This window comes from Homo sapiens, chromosome 2 (genome assembly GCF_000001405.40).
Source record: "Homo sapiens chromosome 2, GRCh38.p14 Primary Assembly".
Classification (NCBI taxonomy): Eukaryota; Metazoa; Chordata; class Mammalia; order Primates; family Hominidae; genus Homo; species Homo sapiens.
In genome coordinates, this window is record NC_000002.12 from 108,565,518 (window position 1) to 108,581,978 (window position 16,461).

At 41.3% G+C, this 16,461-nt stretch overlaps 1 protein-coding gene across 7 annotated transcripts in view, besides 3 other annotated features; it reads left to right on the forward strand.

Annotated features, from left to right (window-relative positions):
- LIMS1 (LIM zinc finger domain containing 1) overlaps positions 1-16,461 on the forward strand; it is a 153,576-nt gene that overhangs the window by 31,847 nt on the left and 105,268 nt on the right. Inside the window, exon 1 of one of the 7 annotated variants that reach the window (NM_001371498.1) lies at positions 5,188-5,283. The exons of 5 other annotated variants lie outside the window; for them this stretch is intronic. Coding sequence is in view for 1 of the 2 variants with exons in the window: in NM_001371497.1 (NP_001358426.1) it covers positions 14,862-14,878 (17 nt within the window). In the remaining variant the exon portion in view is untranslated. Of the gene's footprint in view, positions 1-5,187; positions 5,284-14,661; positions 14,879-16,461 lie in introns of those variants that run through there. One more of the 7 variants, NM_001371497.1, reaches the window with a different exon arrangement.
- Positions 460-549: an enhancer, noted in NCBI's record as "active region_16344". NCBI's record gives its function as "activates an Ori minimal core promoter by ATAC-STARR-seq in GM12878 lymphoblastoid cells {active_cell/tissue: GM12878}" and the evidence as "EXISTENCE:reporter gene assay evidence [ECO:0000049][PMID:35858748]".
- Positions 9,583-10,539: an enhancer, noted in NCBI's record as "OCT4-NANOG-H3K27ac hESC enhancer chr2:109191556-109192512 (GRCh37/hg19 assembly coordinates)". NCBI's record gives its function as "activates a minimal SCP1, AML or CMV promoter by ChIP-STARR-seq in primed H9 embryonic stem cells {active_cell/tissue: H9 hESC(primed)}" and the evidence as "EXISTENCE:reporter gene assay evidence [ECO:0000049][PMID:30033119]".
- Positions 9,776-10,070: a silencer, noted in NCBI's record as "tiled region #1013; HepG2 Repressive non-DNase unmatched - State 10:DNaseD, and K562 Repressive non-DNase unmatched - State 23:Low". NCBI's record gives its function as "represses a minimal TATA promoter and a strong SV40 promoter by Sharpr-MPRA in HepG2 and K562 cells {active_cell/tissue: HepG2 | K562}" and the evidence as "EXISTENCE:reporter gene assay evidence [ECO:0000049][PMID:27701403]".

Below are 16,461 nucleotides of genomic sequence, written 5' to 3' on the forward strand. Positions count from 1 at the left end.
AAAAGGTAAGCAGGGAAATCATGACCTTTTAAACCATTCTTTGGAAATGTAAATTTTAAATATAAAATTGTTTTCCTTAATCTTATCTGATCATTAATTGACTTTTGAGACACAGTCCTTATGGTCTGTTTTATATATTGTGATCCTGTCTTAGTGCATTCCTGCTGCTATAACAAAATACCACAGACTGGGTAATTTTTAAATAACAGAAACTTACATTTCACAGTTTTCGAGGCTGGGAAGTCCTAAATGAAGGCACCAGCAGGTTCAGTGTCTGGTGAGGGCTGCCATCTTCTCCAGGATGGCACCTTGAAGGCTGTGGCTTCACATGACAGGAGGTGACAAAAGGACGTGGAAGTTCCCACCAGCCCTTCACAAAGCACTATTCTCATCTGTGACACAGAGCCCTCCATGCCTATCACCTCCTAAAGGCCTCACTTAATACTGTTGCATTGGGGATTAAGTTTCAACATGAATTTTGGAGGGAACACAAACATTCACACCATAGCAGCTCCTTTTTGAGTTTTGTGTTTTGCTGTCAGTTTCATTTTCTGTGTTGCTAGCTCTGTTTCATGTCTCTGTGAAGTAAAATGAAGCAGGCTCCGTCACTTACTGTGTTGTCTGGGCAGGTTAGGCCACTTCTCTGCTTTGCTTTCCTCATCAGCAAAGTGGGGATTACAGTCTTCCCTACTTTCCTTTCTGCAAGTATTAAATGTGGTTCCTGGCATATCACGCAGAGCAGTGCAAGACTCAGTAAGGCTTTAATTCATGTAAGCTGCTTTGATGAGGGTGATGCATTGATGCAATCCCCAGAAGAAGAATTAAGGAATCCAGCTGTGAGTGTCTTCTATGTCAGCAGTTCTCATCTACTCTTCAGATCACTTTTAAGATATATATTATTTATACCCTCATTTATATAGATGAGGAAACTGATTCTCAGAGGGTAAATTGCCCAGGGCCACACAGTAGGTGGCAGAGCTGTTAGAGTTTCAAATTTGAGTCTGTAAAACCCAAACCCTACTCTTTCCAGTGTATCATGCTGCTGTTGTCGTAAAATGCCAACATAAAATTTACCATCTTAAACATTTTTTTTTTTGAGATGGAGTTTCGCTCTTGTCACCCAGGCTGGAGTGCAGTGGCATGATCTCAGCTTACTGCAACCTCTGCCTCCTGGGTTCAAGCGATTCTCCTGCCTCGGCCTCCCGAGTAGCTGGGATTACAGATGCCCAGCACCATGCCCAGCTAATTTTTGTATTTTTAGTAGAGATGGGGTTTCGCCATGTTGGCCAGGCTGGTCTCAAACTCCTGACCTCAGGTGATGCTCCCGCCTCAGCCTTCCAACGTGCTGGGATTACAGGTGTGAGCTACTGCACCTGGCCCATCGTAACACTTTTTAAGTGTGTAGTTCAGTGGTGTTAAGTATGTTTATATTGTTGTGAAATAGCTCTCCAGAACTTTTTCATCTTGCAGAACTGAAACTCTATATCCATTGAATAGCAACTCCTGCTTTATCCCCAGCTCCTGGCAACCACTGTTCTACTTTCAATGTCTATAAATTTGAATACAGCAGATTCTCAAATAATGTTGTTTTATTCAACATGATTTTGTTATAATGTTGATGAGAACAAAAAATTGATTCCCAGTTGGGACCAGTGTCTGTGTGGGGTTTACGTGTTTCTCCCATGTCTGCTTGGGTTTTCTCCTGGTACTACAGTTTCCTCCCGCATCCCAAAGATGTACATGTTAGGTTAATTGATGTTAAAATCGTCGCAGTGTGAGTGGGTGTGGCTGTATGCCCTGTGACGGGATGGAGTCTCGTCCAGGGTTGGTTCCCATCTTGCTCCCTGAGCTGCTGGGATAGGCTCCAGCCACCTGCAACCCTGAACTAGAATAAGCAGGGTGGAAAATGAATGAATAAATGGACACACATTATTGTAAAATAAAAATTTGTAAAGTATATGATCATCATACAATAAATGATGATCAATAAAACACGACAGTAAACGATGTGGTACAAAAGCACTCAATGAAGATGCCCTGTTTTCCTTTTCTTTGCTTGTTTTTTGTTTTTTGAGATGGAGTCTCGCTCTGTCATCCAGGCTGGAGTGCAATGTCGTGATCTTGGCTTACTACAACCTCTGCTTCCTGGGTTCAAGCGATTCTCCTGCTTCAGCCTCCCAAGTAGCTGGAATTACAGGCATGCGTCACCATGCCTGGCTAATTTTTGTATTTTTAGTAGAGGCGGGGTTTCTCCATGCCGTTCAGGCTGGTTTTGAACTCCTGACCTCAAATGATCCTCCCACCTTGGCCTCCCAAAATGCTAGGATTACAGGCGTGAGCCACCTCACCCAGCCTGCCCTATGTTCTTGTTTGTTTCCAAATAACGTGGTGGCAGGAGGTGCTACTTGCAATTTTCACTTTGCAAACATTGATTCATTGATTTAACCACCATTTTGACCTCTGTCACTCACTGATTCACCAAAAATTGGGTAAATGGTTATTTTTATTCATCTGTCTTAAATGTCTGTATAACTCGTATTTATTTCAGTGCTTAATATTAGAAGTGTTTTGGGTATTTCGAAGTTTGGTGATATTTTTGTGACCAGAAATATGCCATAGGAACTTAACTCTTGTTTGTATCAATTAGCCTGCAGAAAAATTGGTTTCATTATATGTCCCTTCACTTAAAGTCATAGTTTCTGAGAACCAATTGTTAATATTGAAGATTTCCTATACTTTAGATACCTCCTATAGGTGGAATCATGCAATATTTGTTCTTTTGTGACTGGCTTTCTATTTCACTTCACATAATGTCCTCAAGCTTCATCCATGTTGTAGCTTATAACAAGATTTCCTTCGGGTTCATAGTATTCTACTGTTATGTATACCACATTTTATTTATCTATTAATCTGTTAGTGGGCACTTGAGTTCTTCCACATTTTGGCTATTGTGAATAGTGCTACTATGAACATGGGTTACAAATACCTCTTCAATACCCTGCTTTAGATTGTTCTGGATATTTACTCAGAAGTAGGATTGCTGGATCAAATGGTAGTTCTATTTTTAGTTTTTGAAGAACCACCTTACTGTTTTCCATAATACCCACACCATTTTACACCAACAACACACAAAGGTTCCAATTTCTCCACATCCCCACCTACATTTGTTATTCTTTGTTGTTTTGTTTTGTTTTAATAGTAGCCATTGTAATGGGTGTGAGGTGATGTTTCATTGTGATTTTGATTTGCATTTCTGATGATCAGTGATGTTGAACACCTTTTTATATGCTTGTTAGCTATTTGTATGTCATCTTTGGAAAAAAGTCTGTTAAATTCTTTGCCCATGTTGTAACCAGGCTATTTGATTTTTTTTGGCGTTGTTCTTTTTTTTTGAGATGGAGTCTCACTCTGTTGCCCAGGTTAGAGTGCAGTGGCACAATCTCAGCTCACTGCAACCTCCGCCTCCCAGGTTCCAGCGATTCTCCTGCCTCAGCCTCCCGGGAAGCTGAGACTACAGGCACGCACCACCATGCCCAGCCAATTTTTTGCATTTTTAGTAGAGATGGGGTTTCACTGTGTTGGCCAGGCTGGTCTCGAACTCTTGACCTCATGATCTGCCTACCTCATCCTCCCAAAGTGCTGGGATTACAGGCGTGAGCCACCGCACCTGGCCGTGTTGTTGTTCTTCAGGTACAGCAGTTCTTCATATATTCTGGATATTAAAGCCTCATCCATTCATGATTTGCAAATATTTTCTCCTGTTTCATATTTTGCCTTTTCACTCTGATTGGGTCCTTTGATGCACAAAAGTTTTAAAGTTTGATATAGTTCCATTTGTCTGTTTTTGCTTTTGTTGCCTGTGCTTTTAGTTTTGGATTGGGAAACCGTTGCCTAGTCCAATGTCATGCCTTTCTCCTTGTATTTTCTTCTAGGAGTTTTATACTTTGGGGACTTATGTTTAGGTTTTTAGTCCATTTTGAGTTAATTTTTGTATATAATTCATTCTTTTGAATGTGGATGTCCGGTTTTCCTAGCATCATTTGTTGAAGAAACTGTTCTTTCCCATCTTGCTGAGGTTTTTGTTGTTTGTTGTTTTTGAGACAGGGTCTCTCTGTGTCATCCATGCTGAAGTGCAGTGGTATAATCCTACTTCACTATGGCATGAACACCTAGGCTCAAGGAATCCTCCTACCTTAGCCTGCCAAGTAGCTATTATAGCATTACAAACACTCACCGCCATATCTGGCTTTTTTTTTTTTTTTTTTTAGTGATGAGGTCTTGCTATGTTGCCCAGGCTGATCTTGAACTCCTGGCCTCAGGTGATCCTCCCACCTTGGCCTCCCAAAGTGCTGGGATTACAGACATGAGCCACTGTGCTCAGCCATCATGCTGTTTTTTAAGGGTAGAGGAGGGAGAGTGAAGAGAAGGGATATTTATTTTGGGAGAAAAATAATGCAAAAGTATTTTTTAGCTTGTTTGCCACTACATAAATGGAGAAAAGTATACAAAAATCTTTGATAGGATAATATATTTACAGGAATTATGGAGAACTTATTTGACAGATATAGAGGAGTTTATTATTAATATTTGTTTGTATGGGGAAAGGAAATCAAGACATTATAGTAATACTAGGCCGGGAATGGTGGCTCACGCCTGTAATCCCAGCACTTTGGGAGGCCAAGGCGGACAGATCACTTGAGGTTAGGAGTTCAAGACCAGTCTGGTCAACATGGTGAAACCCCATCTCTATTAAAAATACAAACATTAGCCAGCATGGTGGCGCGTGCCTGTAATCCCAGCTACTCGGGTGGCTGAAGTAGGAGAATCTCTTGAACCCAGGAGGTGGAGGTTGCAGTGAGCCGAGATCTCACCACTGCATTCCAGCCTGGGCAGCAGAGCAAGACTCCATCTCAAAAAAATAAAGTAATACTATATTCTCTTTGGCTATGAAGAGACCAGCTTTCCAGAAACCCAGGGTTTTCTGGAATCCAGAAGTTGCTGGCAGGTTGGTCGTGGGGGAGGAAACCTTTTTAATGCCAAACTAATGAGTCTGAACTCCCACAAGCAAACAAACAGAAGATAAAAAAAGCTGAACTCTAAGGGGTTGTCTCCTGTATACTGTGATGGCCTGATTCACAGAGGGAGTGGCCGCATCTCAGAGGGAACGTGGCCATCCTGGGAGGCGGTGGAGAAGAGCGGGAGGAGTTAGCAAGGGAGAGCCCTGGAGGTCCGCAGTGCTGAGAGTGGTTGTGAGCAGCGACCTTGAGGAAGACCAGACTGAAGGTACTGGCTCTGCAGTCCTGCCCTGGAGGGGAAAGGGAGGCCAAGACCGCTCCTCCATCCCCTAAGTGTTAGCCGTCAGCTAGCTAATCCCAGCCTCTGGGAGCTCTTAATAGCTAACTGAAGAAAAATAACATAGCTTTTGGTCTAATGTGGTAACATTTCTCAAAGTTGCTAAAAACATTTCAAATGTCTGAATCTTCTTTTAAAATCTCTGGGCATTAATCAGTTACAGAAATCTTATTTGTATCTTTATTTCCTTTCCTTTCTGCATCAGATATTATTACGTATACTGTTTATTGGGAGGGATGTAAATATTATGCACCCTTCCCTCAAGAAGCTTAGAGTGCAGTAGAGAAGACAGAGTGTTTATAAATAATGGTAAATATTTATGATACCAGTGGTAATAGTAGTAATCATAAGATATAAGGTTGTCTTTCTAGATAACCATTTGAGGTTATCTGGAGGGAGAAGGAAGATCTTTTTAAGGGTGGAGAAATTGAGAGCTAAAGATTATGTAAACTTTACAGGTGTGAGTCTTCCACACATTGCATCTGACATGTAAATAGCAAGAGGCTCCATGAAAATGACTCTGTTAGTCATGTTAGTGTGAACAGTGATCGTGGATGTTTTGAGCCACAGTCCACTACTGTTCCCAGTGTGCTGGACATTCTCCTTGAGCTATTTATAAACAGGAAATATACCTCTTTGAAAATAAACATTGGCGTACATAATTGCACGGAATCCTGTTACTCATCTAAGGTGGGACAATAAATAGCCTTAAAAAATGTTGTAATACCTTACATTGGAATAGCATTTTATTGTGAACAAGGCAGTCTGTTTTATGAATAGTACAAAAGCTTACTAATGCTGTGATAGAAGTAGGAATGAGTGTTTTAGACAGTGAATCTTAAACGTTTAATCTTTTCTTTCGTTGAAGACTATCACTTTTCAGTTTCTGACAATTTAGCACATAATTCTGTATGATAAGAAAATACAGATGGGGACATGGGCTTAATGCTATTGAGGAAAACTGTTCAATGTAGGGACAGGCACCTGAGAAACTGTCTTCAAATGTGTCTCATTGAGCCCCAGCTGCTCTTCCAGAGCTCAACTGGACCTGACAACAGCTGTCTCTAAGCCAGGAACCATGGGCCCTTATATTTTAAAAAGGATGGGTAAGGGGATGTTCTGTTGGAAAATATGCATTTAGTGTAGCAATGCCAAAACTGTAATAATATACATGAATGCATGTTGAGCTTATGTCTAAATACTGGTTGTGTCATGAGTGGCCTATTATAAAGCCACTAGAAAAGTTATTTTGAAAGAGGATTTGAGGGACTGGGCTTTTTTTTTTATCATGGAATTTATATCCTAATCCTGACTTTGTGTACATTTCTGTTGTGTCTTACTGTTCTCTCCCTTACTTAAACTTCCCTTCACTGAAATACAACTTACATACAATAAGCTACTTGTATTCAATTTTACAATATAAGTTCTGACCCATGAGGTTGTTACCACAGTCAAGAAAATGAGCATAACCCTTTGTAATCCTTCTCTCCCTTGGTCTCTGGGACTCTTGCTTTTTTTTTTTTTTTTTTTTGAGGCAGAGTCTTGCTCTATTGCCCAGGCTGGAGTGCAGTGGCGCAGTCTCAGCTCACTGCAACCTCTGCCTCCCAGATTCATGTGATTCTCCTGCCTCAGCCTCCTGAGTATCTGGGATTACAGGCAGGAGGATTACCCCACCCAGCTAATTTTTTGTATTTTTAGTACAGACAGGGTTTCACTATGTTGGCCAGGTGGGTCTCGAACTCCTGACCTTGTGTTCCACCCGCCTCGGCCTCCCAAAGTGCTGGGATTACATGCATGAGCCACTACGCCCGGCCTGACTCTTTTGCTCTTGATGTGTATAGGAGGAATAAGCTACAGAAAGGTGTAGGGGACGGTAGGCAACGATTACACTTTGAAGTCGGGTGGTCTTGGAAGTGTAGGAAAACATTTTGAGAAACACTGTCTTAGAGAATTCTCTAACATTCTGGAACTGGCCGCTGAACCTGCCTCCCCACCCTTCTGTCATCCAGGTCTCTCTTGTCCTAGAACCCACATAAATTGCAGTAGTAAACTTGTATTGTGTGTTAGCTTTGTTGCTGTTCCGCAGCTTCCTGGGCCACATCAGACTGAGTGTATGCTTGTCGGTGCTTCCCAAACTGGTGAAGAATAAGGATTTTAAAAAATACTTTCTAGTCTATTGTTAAGTGACACTTCTGTAAAAGACAATTAAAATGGGATGCTAGAAAAATAAAAAAGGTCATATGAATGCAAGTCCCAGTTGTTTCTCTTTATATTCAGCAGATGTAAAATTTCTATGTCACATTGGTAAGTTTCTAAATACTTACTCTCAATTTCTGCACTTATTTTATTGCAGAGTGATTACAACATTTTGTGATTCATGGGCCACACTGAGCAATACTGATCAGCAGTCCTGCTTCTCCCGTTTTCTTTTCTTTTCTTTTTTTTTTTTTTCTACTGGGTACAGTGATCTTTTGGCCATGCTTTTAGAGTTTCCCACTTGGAATGTTCTGCAGCTTTTAGCCAGTTATTTTGGCGTAAGAAATGAAAGGAAACTAACAGTTGCTCTTGAATACTTAACGATACACCAGCTGATGGGAAAAGCATTTTTATTTTTTATTTCTAGGTGATCCTCAAAACAACCCTGCAAAGTAAGTGGTATTAGCCCCACTGCAGGGATGAATTACCTCACTTGTAATCATGTGTTATTTAACAAATATTGCTGCGTGCCTGGTAGAGACCAGGTGTATGCTTGGCTCTAGGGATACAGCAGAAAGCAGAGCAGACAGAACTCTCTGTCTTCATGGTGCTCATGTCCTTGTTGGGGATGGTAGAGACACATCATAAACAAATAAAGCGTATAGTGTATCAGATGGTGATGAACAGTATGGAGGAATGAGCTAGAGAAGGGTGTAGGGGACAGTAGGCAACGATTACACATTGAAGTCAGTTGATCTTGGAAGTCTTCTCTGAGGTGACCTTGGGCCAAGATCAGGCTGAGGAAGAGAAGACTTGGAGCAGCAGAGGTGAGGTCCTGCAGTTTTGAGGAACTCACTGAGGTTAGGGACTCTTCTCATGCCATTCAGCTAGGGAATGGCTGATAATAAATGTATGCTTTATAGTCTTTACTCACTCTCCATGTTCTTGGTTTAAAAGATGCCTGAATCCCCCCTCCCCCCCACCAAAAAAAAGTGGAAATCAGTCTGGGAATGGGAAGGTGGAATTTATGTGTGGATTTTGCTTTTGATGATTAGGTCTGGATATTTTTCAAGGCTTTAAGTATCTTTTTCCTAAGGGTATGAAGTACATGAGTTTTGTAATGGAGTTTCCATTTTTAAGTGGATGAAATTTCTCTAGGGGACATGAAAAGCTAGACAAGATCAGGGAAGGGGCTTTCAAAAAAGAAGAGATTAAAGCTTTGGGAAAAAGGCATTGCTTTTGTTTAAGCACTTTGAAGTTAAGGATGTGTAGGTTATTCCCTGCTTATGAATGACCTGGTGCTTAGAGACAGCTCTCCTTGTATTTGACAGCAGCATTTGCTGGGGCTTTTTTCTCATCTGGCTGCTCTCCACTGCCCAAGACTTACCTTCTGCAAACTCCGAGAGCTCTGACCCAAACCTTTCACTCGAGGTCATGGCTCCCAAACCTCCCACTGCTTCTGTGCTCTCTCACCTCCTCCACCAGCCTTCAATTGGGTTAGAGAGGAGGAGGAGTAGGGATGATGACTGTTTATAACTAGTAAGTATTCTAGTCTCATTTGAGCTTGTGCACTACATAAAATTGGTAGGCAGGTATTACTATACCTGTTTTACAGATGAGAAATGTGAAGCTCACAGATGTTAAATAATTTGTCCAAGGTCATCATTCCCGGTAAACCAGAGTAAAGACCTGAAGCAAACTCTTTGGTTTTCCTGTCCCTGATTGCTGCTACCCCATCTCCTTTTTCAGCTACGTTTTTTTGGTGAAGGAAGCTTTTGGAGATTGGTCATGGTTTTATTTTTATGGAATTTACTATATGGTTTTATGGAAAATGTGTTCCAGGGTTGGAAACTTAATATAGATCCTACTTCAGATTTTTGGTCATTGGGTTGGGGACTAACTAAATATCATTTTGATTTTTACCGTGCCTTGCTATTTTTTAGGTTGAAATTTAATAATTCATATAAGTGTCCTTTGAAATTTGGCAGGATACTCTTCTTTTGAAGTATTACCTGCTGTTTCTCATTGTAGGTTATATTTCTTAGTAACACGCCTCAACACTCTTGGGGTTCTCAATCTTACAAATAACTTCTCTCACCCTTTTTTTTTCCTAGCTAGTTTGTTTAATCATTTGTAACTTCCCCTCCAAGGTTGGGGAGGATGGAGGTGGGGTTTTTCAGCTTGGGGTTATATGGTTTTTGATCCTCTTACAAACATAGTTATATGCTCGTTAGAATGTGAGCTAATCATTCTTCAAAAAAATGCAAAAGAGTTAGCCAACGTGGTGTTGATGGCTGTGAAACCTGAGTCCTCTCAGTTAGCTGAAATAGTAGAGATTTGCTGCCCTTACGGCTCACAGAGCTGCAGCCTAGCAGGTGCTGTTACTTCTTTGTTTAAAGCGTGTTAGCCATCCAGATGTTTCTAGCTCTTTCTCTTTCATCAGAGAACATTCTTCTTGAAATTTAATGTGGAGGCCCTTTTGCTCTGGTGCATTTTCTTACTCCAAATTCCTGCATTTGTCACCACTTAGTCACAGTCAGGCTATTGGGCTAAGTGGTCTGGGTGAACACTGATGTTAGAGTTGCAGGGTTTGCTGCAGCCCACCTCTTGTTCTCCAGCTTCCTTTTAGGCATCGTTTATTTTTATTCTTTAAAGTATTTTATGTTTTGATTTGTTATAACTATTGCAGAAATCAATCCTGAGTCATCAGGGTTGTTTAGTCTTTCTCCTTTTGTGCGTTTGTGTGTGTGTGGTATTATTCATTTTGGCTGTTTGGATGGCATGTGATACAGCATTTTTTATTTTGTAGCCAAAACCAAACCAAGAGGTTGCCAACAGGACAGAAAAAAGCAGCAAGATAATATTAATAGGCACGTGTGCTTGCACCTGATCAGGAAGCAGGCACCTGGGGCCAGGATTTGAAGTCTTTCTATACCTGGGAGTGGGGAAAGGCCTGGTCTTCATGTCAGTGTTAGTCTGGAAGTAGTGACAGAGACTTAGCAGTTACTGGGTTTTCCTACTCATTTTAGTACTGTTCTTGATAAGGTTTTAGTATTTATGTATGTGAAAATAACTTTTGAAGTCTTTAAGATCATCACCTTGACTGAACGAGAGCTAATAGGTTTTATTCATTCCTGCAAAAGGAATAGAATAGAACTTGTCATACTGGGTCAGTACCAGTTATGGGTCAACTAAGCAAGTTTTGTTTTGTTTTGTTTTGTTTTGTTGAGACAGGGTCTGTATTGCCCAGGCTGGTCTTGATCCTGGGCTCAAGCAATCCTCCTGCCTCAGCCTTCTGAGTAGCTGGAATTACAGGCATGCACCTCATTGGCTAACAAGTTGTTTTTCTTTTTGAGATGGAGTCTCGCCCTCTCACCCAGGCTGGAGTGCAGTGGCATGATCTTGGCTCACTGCGACCTCTGCCTCCCGGGTTCAAGCGATTCTTCTGCCTCAGCCTCCCGAGTAGCTGGGATTACAAGCACGTGCCACCACACCTGGCTAATTTTTGTATTTTTAGTAGAGACAGAGTTTCACCATATTGGCCAGGCTGGTCTCAAACTCCTGACCTCATGATCTGCCTGCCTTGGCCTCCCAGACTGCTGGGATTACAGGTGTGAGCCACCGTGCCTGGCCACAAGTTAAAGTGCCCTTTAGAGTGAGCCTTATGCCTCACATTACAGTGGCTAAGAAGCTAAGGGACAAAGTTCCCAGTCTCAGAGGTTATAATCTAGTAGGGAAGAGTAAATAAGTCTCAGATTTATCTTGATACATGGCAACATTTGGTAAATATCCTAAAAAGAGGTACAGAGCAATCAGGATTCAAGGACAGGGAGAACTCCCTGAGGTAGGAGGGAACGTGCCAACAGGAGTTTCTGGCCATCCCAAACAGGGATGCTCATGGCTGCCACAGCTTCACATTTCCTTATACCATTGTTTGATTTTCACTAGTATGTCCAAATTCCTTGAAAATGGGTTTTAAACTTCCAGAAAACAGTACGATCTCTCAGAACTGTGAGTGCACTCAACATGTTTTATGATTGACCTTTTCTTGTGTCTCCCTTGAACTATAAGCTCATTTGAAACTAGTTAACTGAGTCTTATTGCTGTTGCCTGAGAAGCTAGCACAGTGCCTGACACACTGTTAAGTCAGTGCTCTTTCAAGTTACTCCCTGAGAATTCCCTTTCCCTCTCCCACTTCGTGAACCACAGCTAATACAGACTCACTTCCGTGATGAACCCGGTAAGGCCTAGGCCTTTCTTGCTGCTGCTGCATTTCGCAGCGCTTTGCAGATGCTGCCTCTGCTGTGTCACGACAGAATATTGCAATATGTTTTGTGTGTACATCGCAGTCTAGGAAGTTACTCCGGGCTCTGCCTTAGTTATCCTTATGTGCCCCGTACCTATAGCAGTTAGTGATATGGTAGTCATTGGGTAAATATTCACTGAAATGAAAATGGAAGTTTTCAATGTGTATGTATTTGTTTTCTACTTACCCCTATTTTAATGGTACAGAGTGGGTAAGGGTAGGTTAACACTTGCATTTGCTCAAAAGTTAATTTTTACAATAACTAAATGTTTTTACATTCTTAAAATGTATTTTACATTCTTAACAAACATGAATCTATATTGTAGTACTTTATTTTTTAAGAGAGAGAGAAAAAAGGTGCTTCAGATGTTCTTACAAAGCTGTTTAGCATTTCTGGGAACTTAATAAAGTATTTTGGCTCAGCAGTTAAAAAATGAAAATCTATTTTTTCTGAGAAATAAAGTCTTGCCCATCTGTTCTCTCCTCTTACCGTGTGACTGTTAAATGCTATTCTGAGATTGTATGTTTTGTTTTGTTTTGTTTTGTTTTTTGAGACGGAGTCTTGTCTTGTTCTGTCGCCCGATCTAGAGTGCAGTGGCACAGTCTCGGCTCACTGCAACCTTCACCTCCCAGGTTCAAGTGATTCTCCTGCCTCAGCCTCCCGAGTAGCTGGGATTATAGATGTCCGCCACTGCGCCTGGCTAATTTTTGTATTTTTTAGTAGAGATGGGGTTTCACCATCTTGGCCAGGCTGGTCTCGAACTCCTGACCTCGTGATCCACCCGCCTTGGCCTCCCAAAGTGCTGGGATTACAGGCATGAGCCACCGCGCCCAGCCTGTATGTTTTGATACTATAGAGAGGTATACAATAAAATTGCCTGTTAGTCACCATTTCTAATTATGGTTCATTTTATCATTCAATTATTTTTAAGAGCTTATTAGCATGTGTATATGTAAAGATGTGTTTCATATATTTTTAATCTCTACATCCTTTCATATTTTGTTATACTCTCTTTAAATGCAAGCACTTATTTTGAAGTAGTTTTAAATGTTATAATATCTCCACCATATGAAATAAGGAATATCTGCACTTTCCTCCACCCCCTTCTCTGAGATTACTGCAGCCAGAAGGTTAATGCCTTAGCTGAACTCTTAAAAGCATTTCCGTTATCATAAGCTTAAGAAATGTTTGTCTTAGTTCATGGAATGTAAATAATTTTTTTTTTTTTTTTTTTTTTTGGAGACGGAGTCTCTCACTGTGGCCCAGGCTAGAATGCAGTGGCACGATCTCAGCTCACTGCAAGCTCCACCTCCCAGGTTCACGCCATTCTCCTGCCTCAGCCTCCCAAGTAGCTGGGACTACAGGTGCCCACCACCACGCCTGGCTAATTTTTTTGTATTTTTAGTAGAGATGGGGTTTCACTGTGTTAGCCAGGATGGTCTCAATCTCCTGACCTCGTGATCTGTCTGCCTCAGCCTCCCAAAGTGCTGGGATTACAGGCGTGAGCCATTGCTCCTGGTCATGAAATGTAAATAATTTTTAAATCTAGTTTACAAAGAAAAATGATGATGTAGGGATATCATTTTTTTGTTCCTCAAGAATAAATTTAGTCTTAAATTTCAGGTTAGCATCCTGGATTCATTATCCTATATCACTTTTTGGTATGCATTCATGGGATTTTGTAGGCAGTTTCATGCCAAAGTGTTGTGTTTTCCAAAGTCCAATTTTTTTTGACTGGTTTAACTAACATTCATTTTGAGATGATTCCAAATTTTGTAACAAAAACAACTTATATTTGAATTTTCACCTTTATAATTTTAAAAAATCTATTCTGTAGCCCTGAGATTTGGACAAAATGGTAATTATGTTATTTTATGGATATTAAAGCTGAATATAAAGAATTTTTATCGAACCAAGATGTCACAGCTCTTATAGTAAGTGGCATGATTAAGACTATAATTTTACTTGTACTCAGTGTACCTTCTACCACTATATAATGTTTCCAAGCATATGAACTTATTACTAGTCTGTATCTATGGTTTTCAGTGATGTTAAATGTGTTTTTAAAAATTTTATTAATATGTAATACACAAGAGTGCAAAAATCTTAAGTGCACAACTTAGGAATTTTCACAAAGCAAAAGCATGGTCAAATGATTTGGACTATGAATTAATATTAAAATACAATGAATTTAATATTGGATGCCTAGAGTCTCTTGATTCCAGAGAAATACATTTATTTTTAAACTTGTGTTACACTTCCCTGAATACTCATTTGAAGTGTTTCTGATTTCCTCATTTGCTCATTTGTTTGACAGTATTCACAGCGAGCCTGCCCTCTGCCAGGCATGACTGGCATGGGGCACAGCTGTGAACAGGAATCATCACTTGTAACTTGAGGTCAGACTAAAGGACACAGGCAAATTCCTGTGGAGCAAGAGGGCCTTCCGGAGAACTTCCCAGAGGAAGCGACCTCTTGACTGAGTCCGAGTGTGAATGGGAATCATCCCAAGAAGAGTTTAGGGAGGAAGGCAAGAGGCACCAGGCCAGGAGGGCTGTTGAGATGTGACAGGCAGATCCGCAGGGCTGCAGCCTGTGCAGTGAGGGCTGGAGCTGGGGGATGCCGGGTGGGAGCAAGGACAGCCAGGTCCGTTTTTACTGGCACTGTAGTTTCCTTGATTATCAACAACAGGAATAGACTCAGGCAAACAGAAGCTTCAAAGAAATTTACTGGAAAAATACTGGGGTTGCTCCCAGAATTGAAGAATGGGCTGAACTTACAGGTCTCTGAGAAGGGCAAACAACTAGGGCTTTCCCGGTGTCTCTGCAGAACTTGTGGGATGTCTCTATAGAGCAGTGCTCTGAGTTGACTTCCTCTAACTGCAGGGTGTTAGTCTCTACTCAGATTTCTAGTCTTTGAGAAATAGTATCTGATTAACTTAGTTCAAGTCCATAGTCCAAATGGACCAGGACCAGTCATTGTGGCCAGAGGATAGGAAGAAGCACCATGCCTAGTCAATCAAGGTAGGTGACTGTTAGGTGGTCAGGACAACTAGATCTGTTACCTGAAACAGAGAGTGGACGACATGGGTACCCATGTGGATGACATGACCACCCAGAAGGCAGTGTTACGGTAGCTCAGAGAAGAGGTGGTTTGGGAACAGTGATTAGGAAAGAGGGATGTTCAGAGGCCAGTTACAAGGCTGTTGCATTAATCCACATAGGAGGTGATGGTGCCAGAAGTAGATGCAGCCTGTACAGATATAAAGTAGTAAATCGATTCAGAAACAGTTAAGAGGCAGAGAAGAAAGGACTTTGCAGCTGGACATTGGGAGGTGTGTGAGGATGATTAAGTTGTTGAAGATGACTCTCAGGTTTCTCGCTTGGACTAGAACCATTGTGTTCATAGTGGTCCCTTGCATGGAGGAGAGAGAGTTTCAGGAGGGGGATGGGGCTTTCATTCAGTTATGAAGTAATAAGTTGGAGTATCTAAGCAGACCACATTTAATTTAAGAACACTTGGGTATGAACAACACTTCCCCATTAAATTACTTGTGGGGTTCCAGCTCTGCCATCAGGGCCCTCTCACTCCAGCATCGTGGCCTCTGCCAAGGTTGTTACTCTCTTTTTGTGTCCCTGGGCTGCTGAAATCTTCTCACCGTATTGCCATGGAATTTGTAACGTGCTTCCTTCTGCTTCCCTACCTTAGGCAGGTTTGGGTCTGAGTGGGTTTTGGAATGAGTATTGTTAAAGGAAGTTAAAATGAAGACCAGGCCTGTGAAATCTCTGAGCGCACAAAACCAGTTAGGCCTTATATGTTACCTCAGCCTTGCTTAAATTGCAGACATAAGCAGAACAAGTAGAGTCATTTTGATAAATGTTTATGTTAGAAGTAAAACTTAACCCCCGCCAGTCGTAAGCTGCCAACTAACATATGACTAAGTGACTAGGGGCTTTCCAACAAGGTACCTAAAAAAAGGCAATTCTGTAATTTCAAATCAATCAAATAATTTCTTTATTTTGCTTCTACGTTTCCCAGTAAATACTTGTCTCTGACTTTTTGTCATTGGGACACTAAAACTTTTTTCGTCTGGTGTTCCCCAATTCATGAATTGCTTCTTACTCAAATAAACTCTTTAAAATTGTATTGTTCCTCAGATTTTTCTTTTATAGTAACTTTCCCAAACTCAGAAAGGCCCCCAGAGCTTAGGGGCTTTTAGGACTAAGTGCTGCTATTTAGGGCTCTTTCTTAGATGTTATTATGTTTAGAAGAGGCTTGCTATAGGCTGGGCACGGTGGCTCATGCCTGTAATCCTAGCACTTTGGGAGGCCGAGGCAGGCAGATCACCTGAGGTCAGGAGTTCAAGACCAGCCTGACCAACGTGGTGAAACCCCATCGCTACTAAAAATACAAAATTACTCGGGAGTGGTGGCGCATGCCTGTAATCCCAGCTACTAGGGAGGCTGAGGCAAGAGAATTGCTTGAACCCAGGAGGCAGAGGTTGCAGTGAGCCAAGATTGTGCCATTGGACTCCAGCCTGGGCAACAAGAGTGAAACTCCATCTCAAAAAAAAAAAAAACAAACAAAAAATACTTGCTATATGATG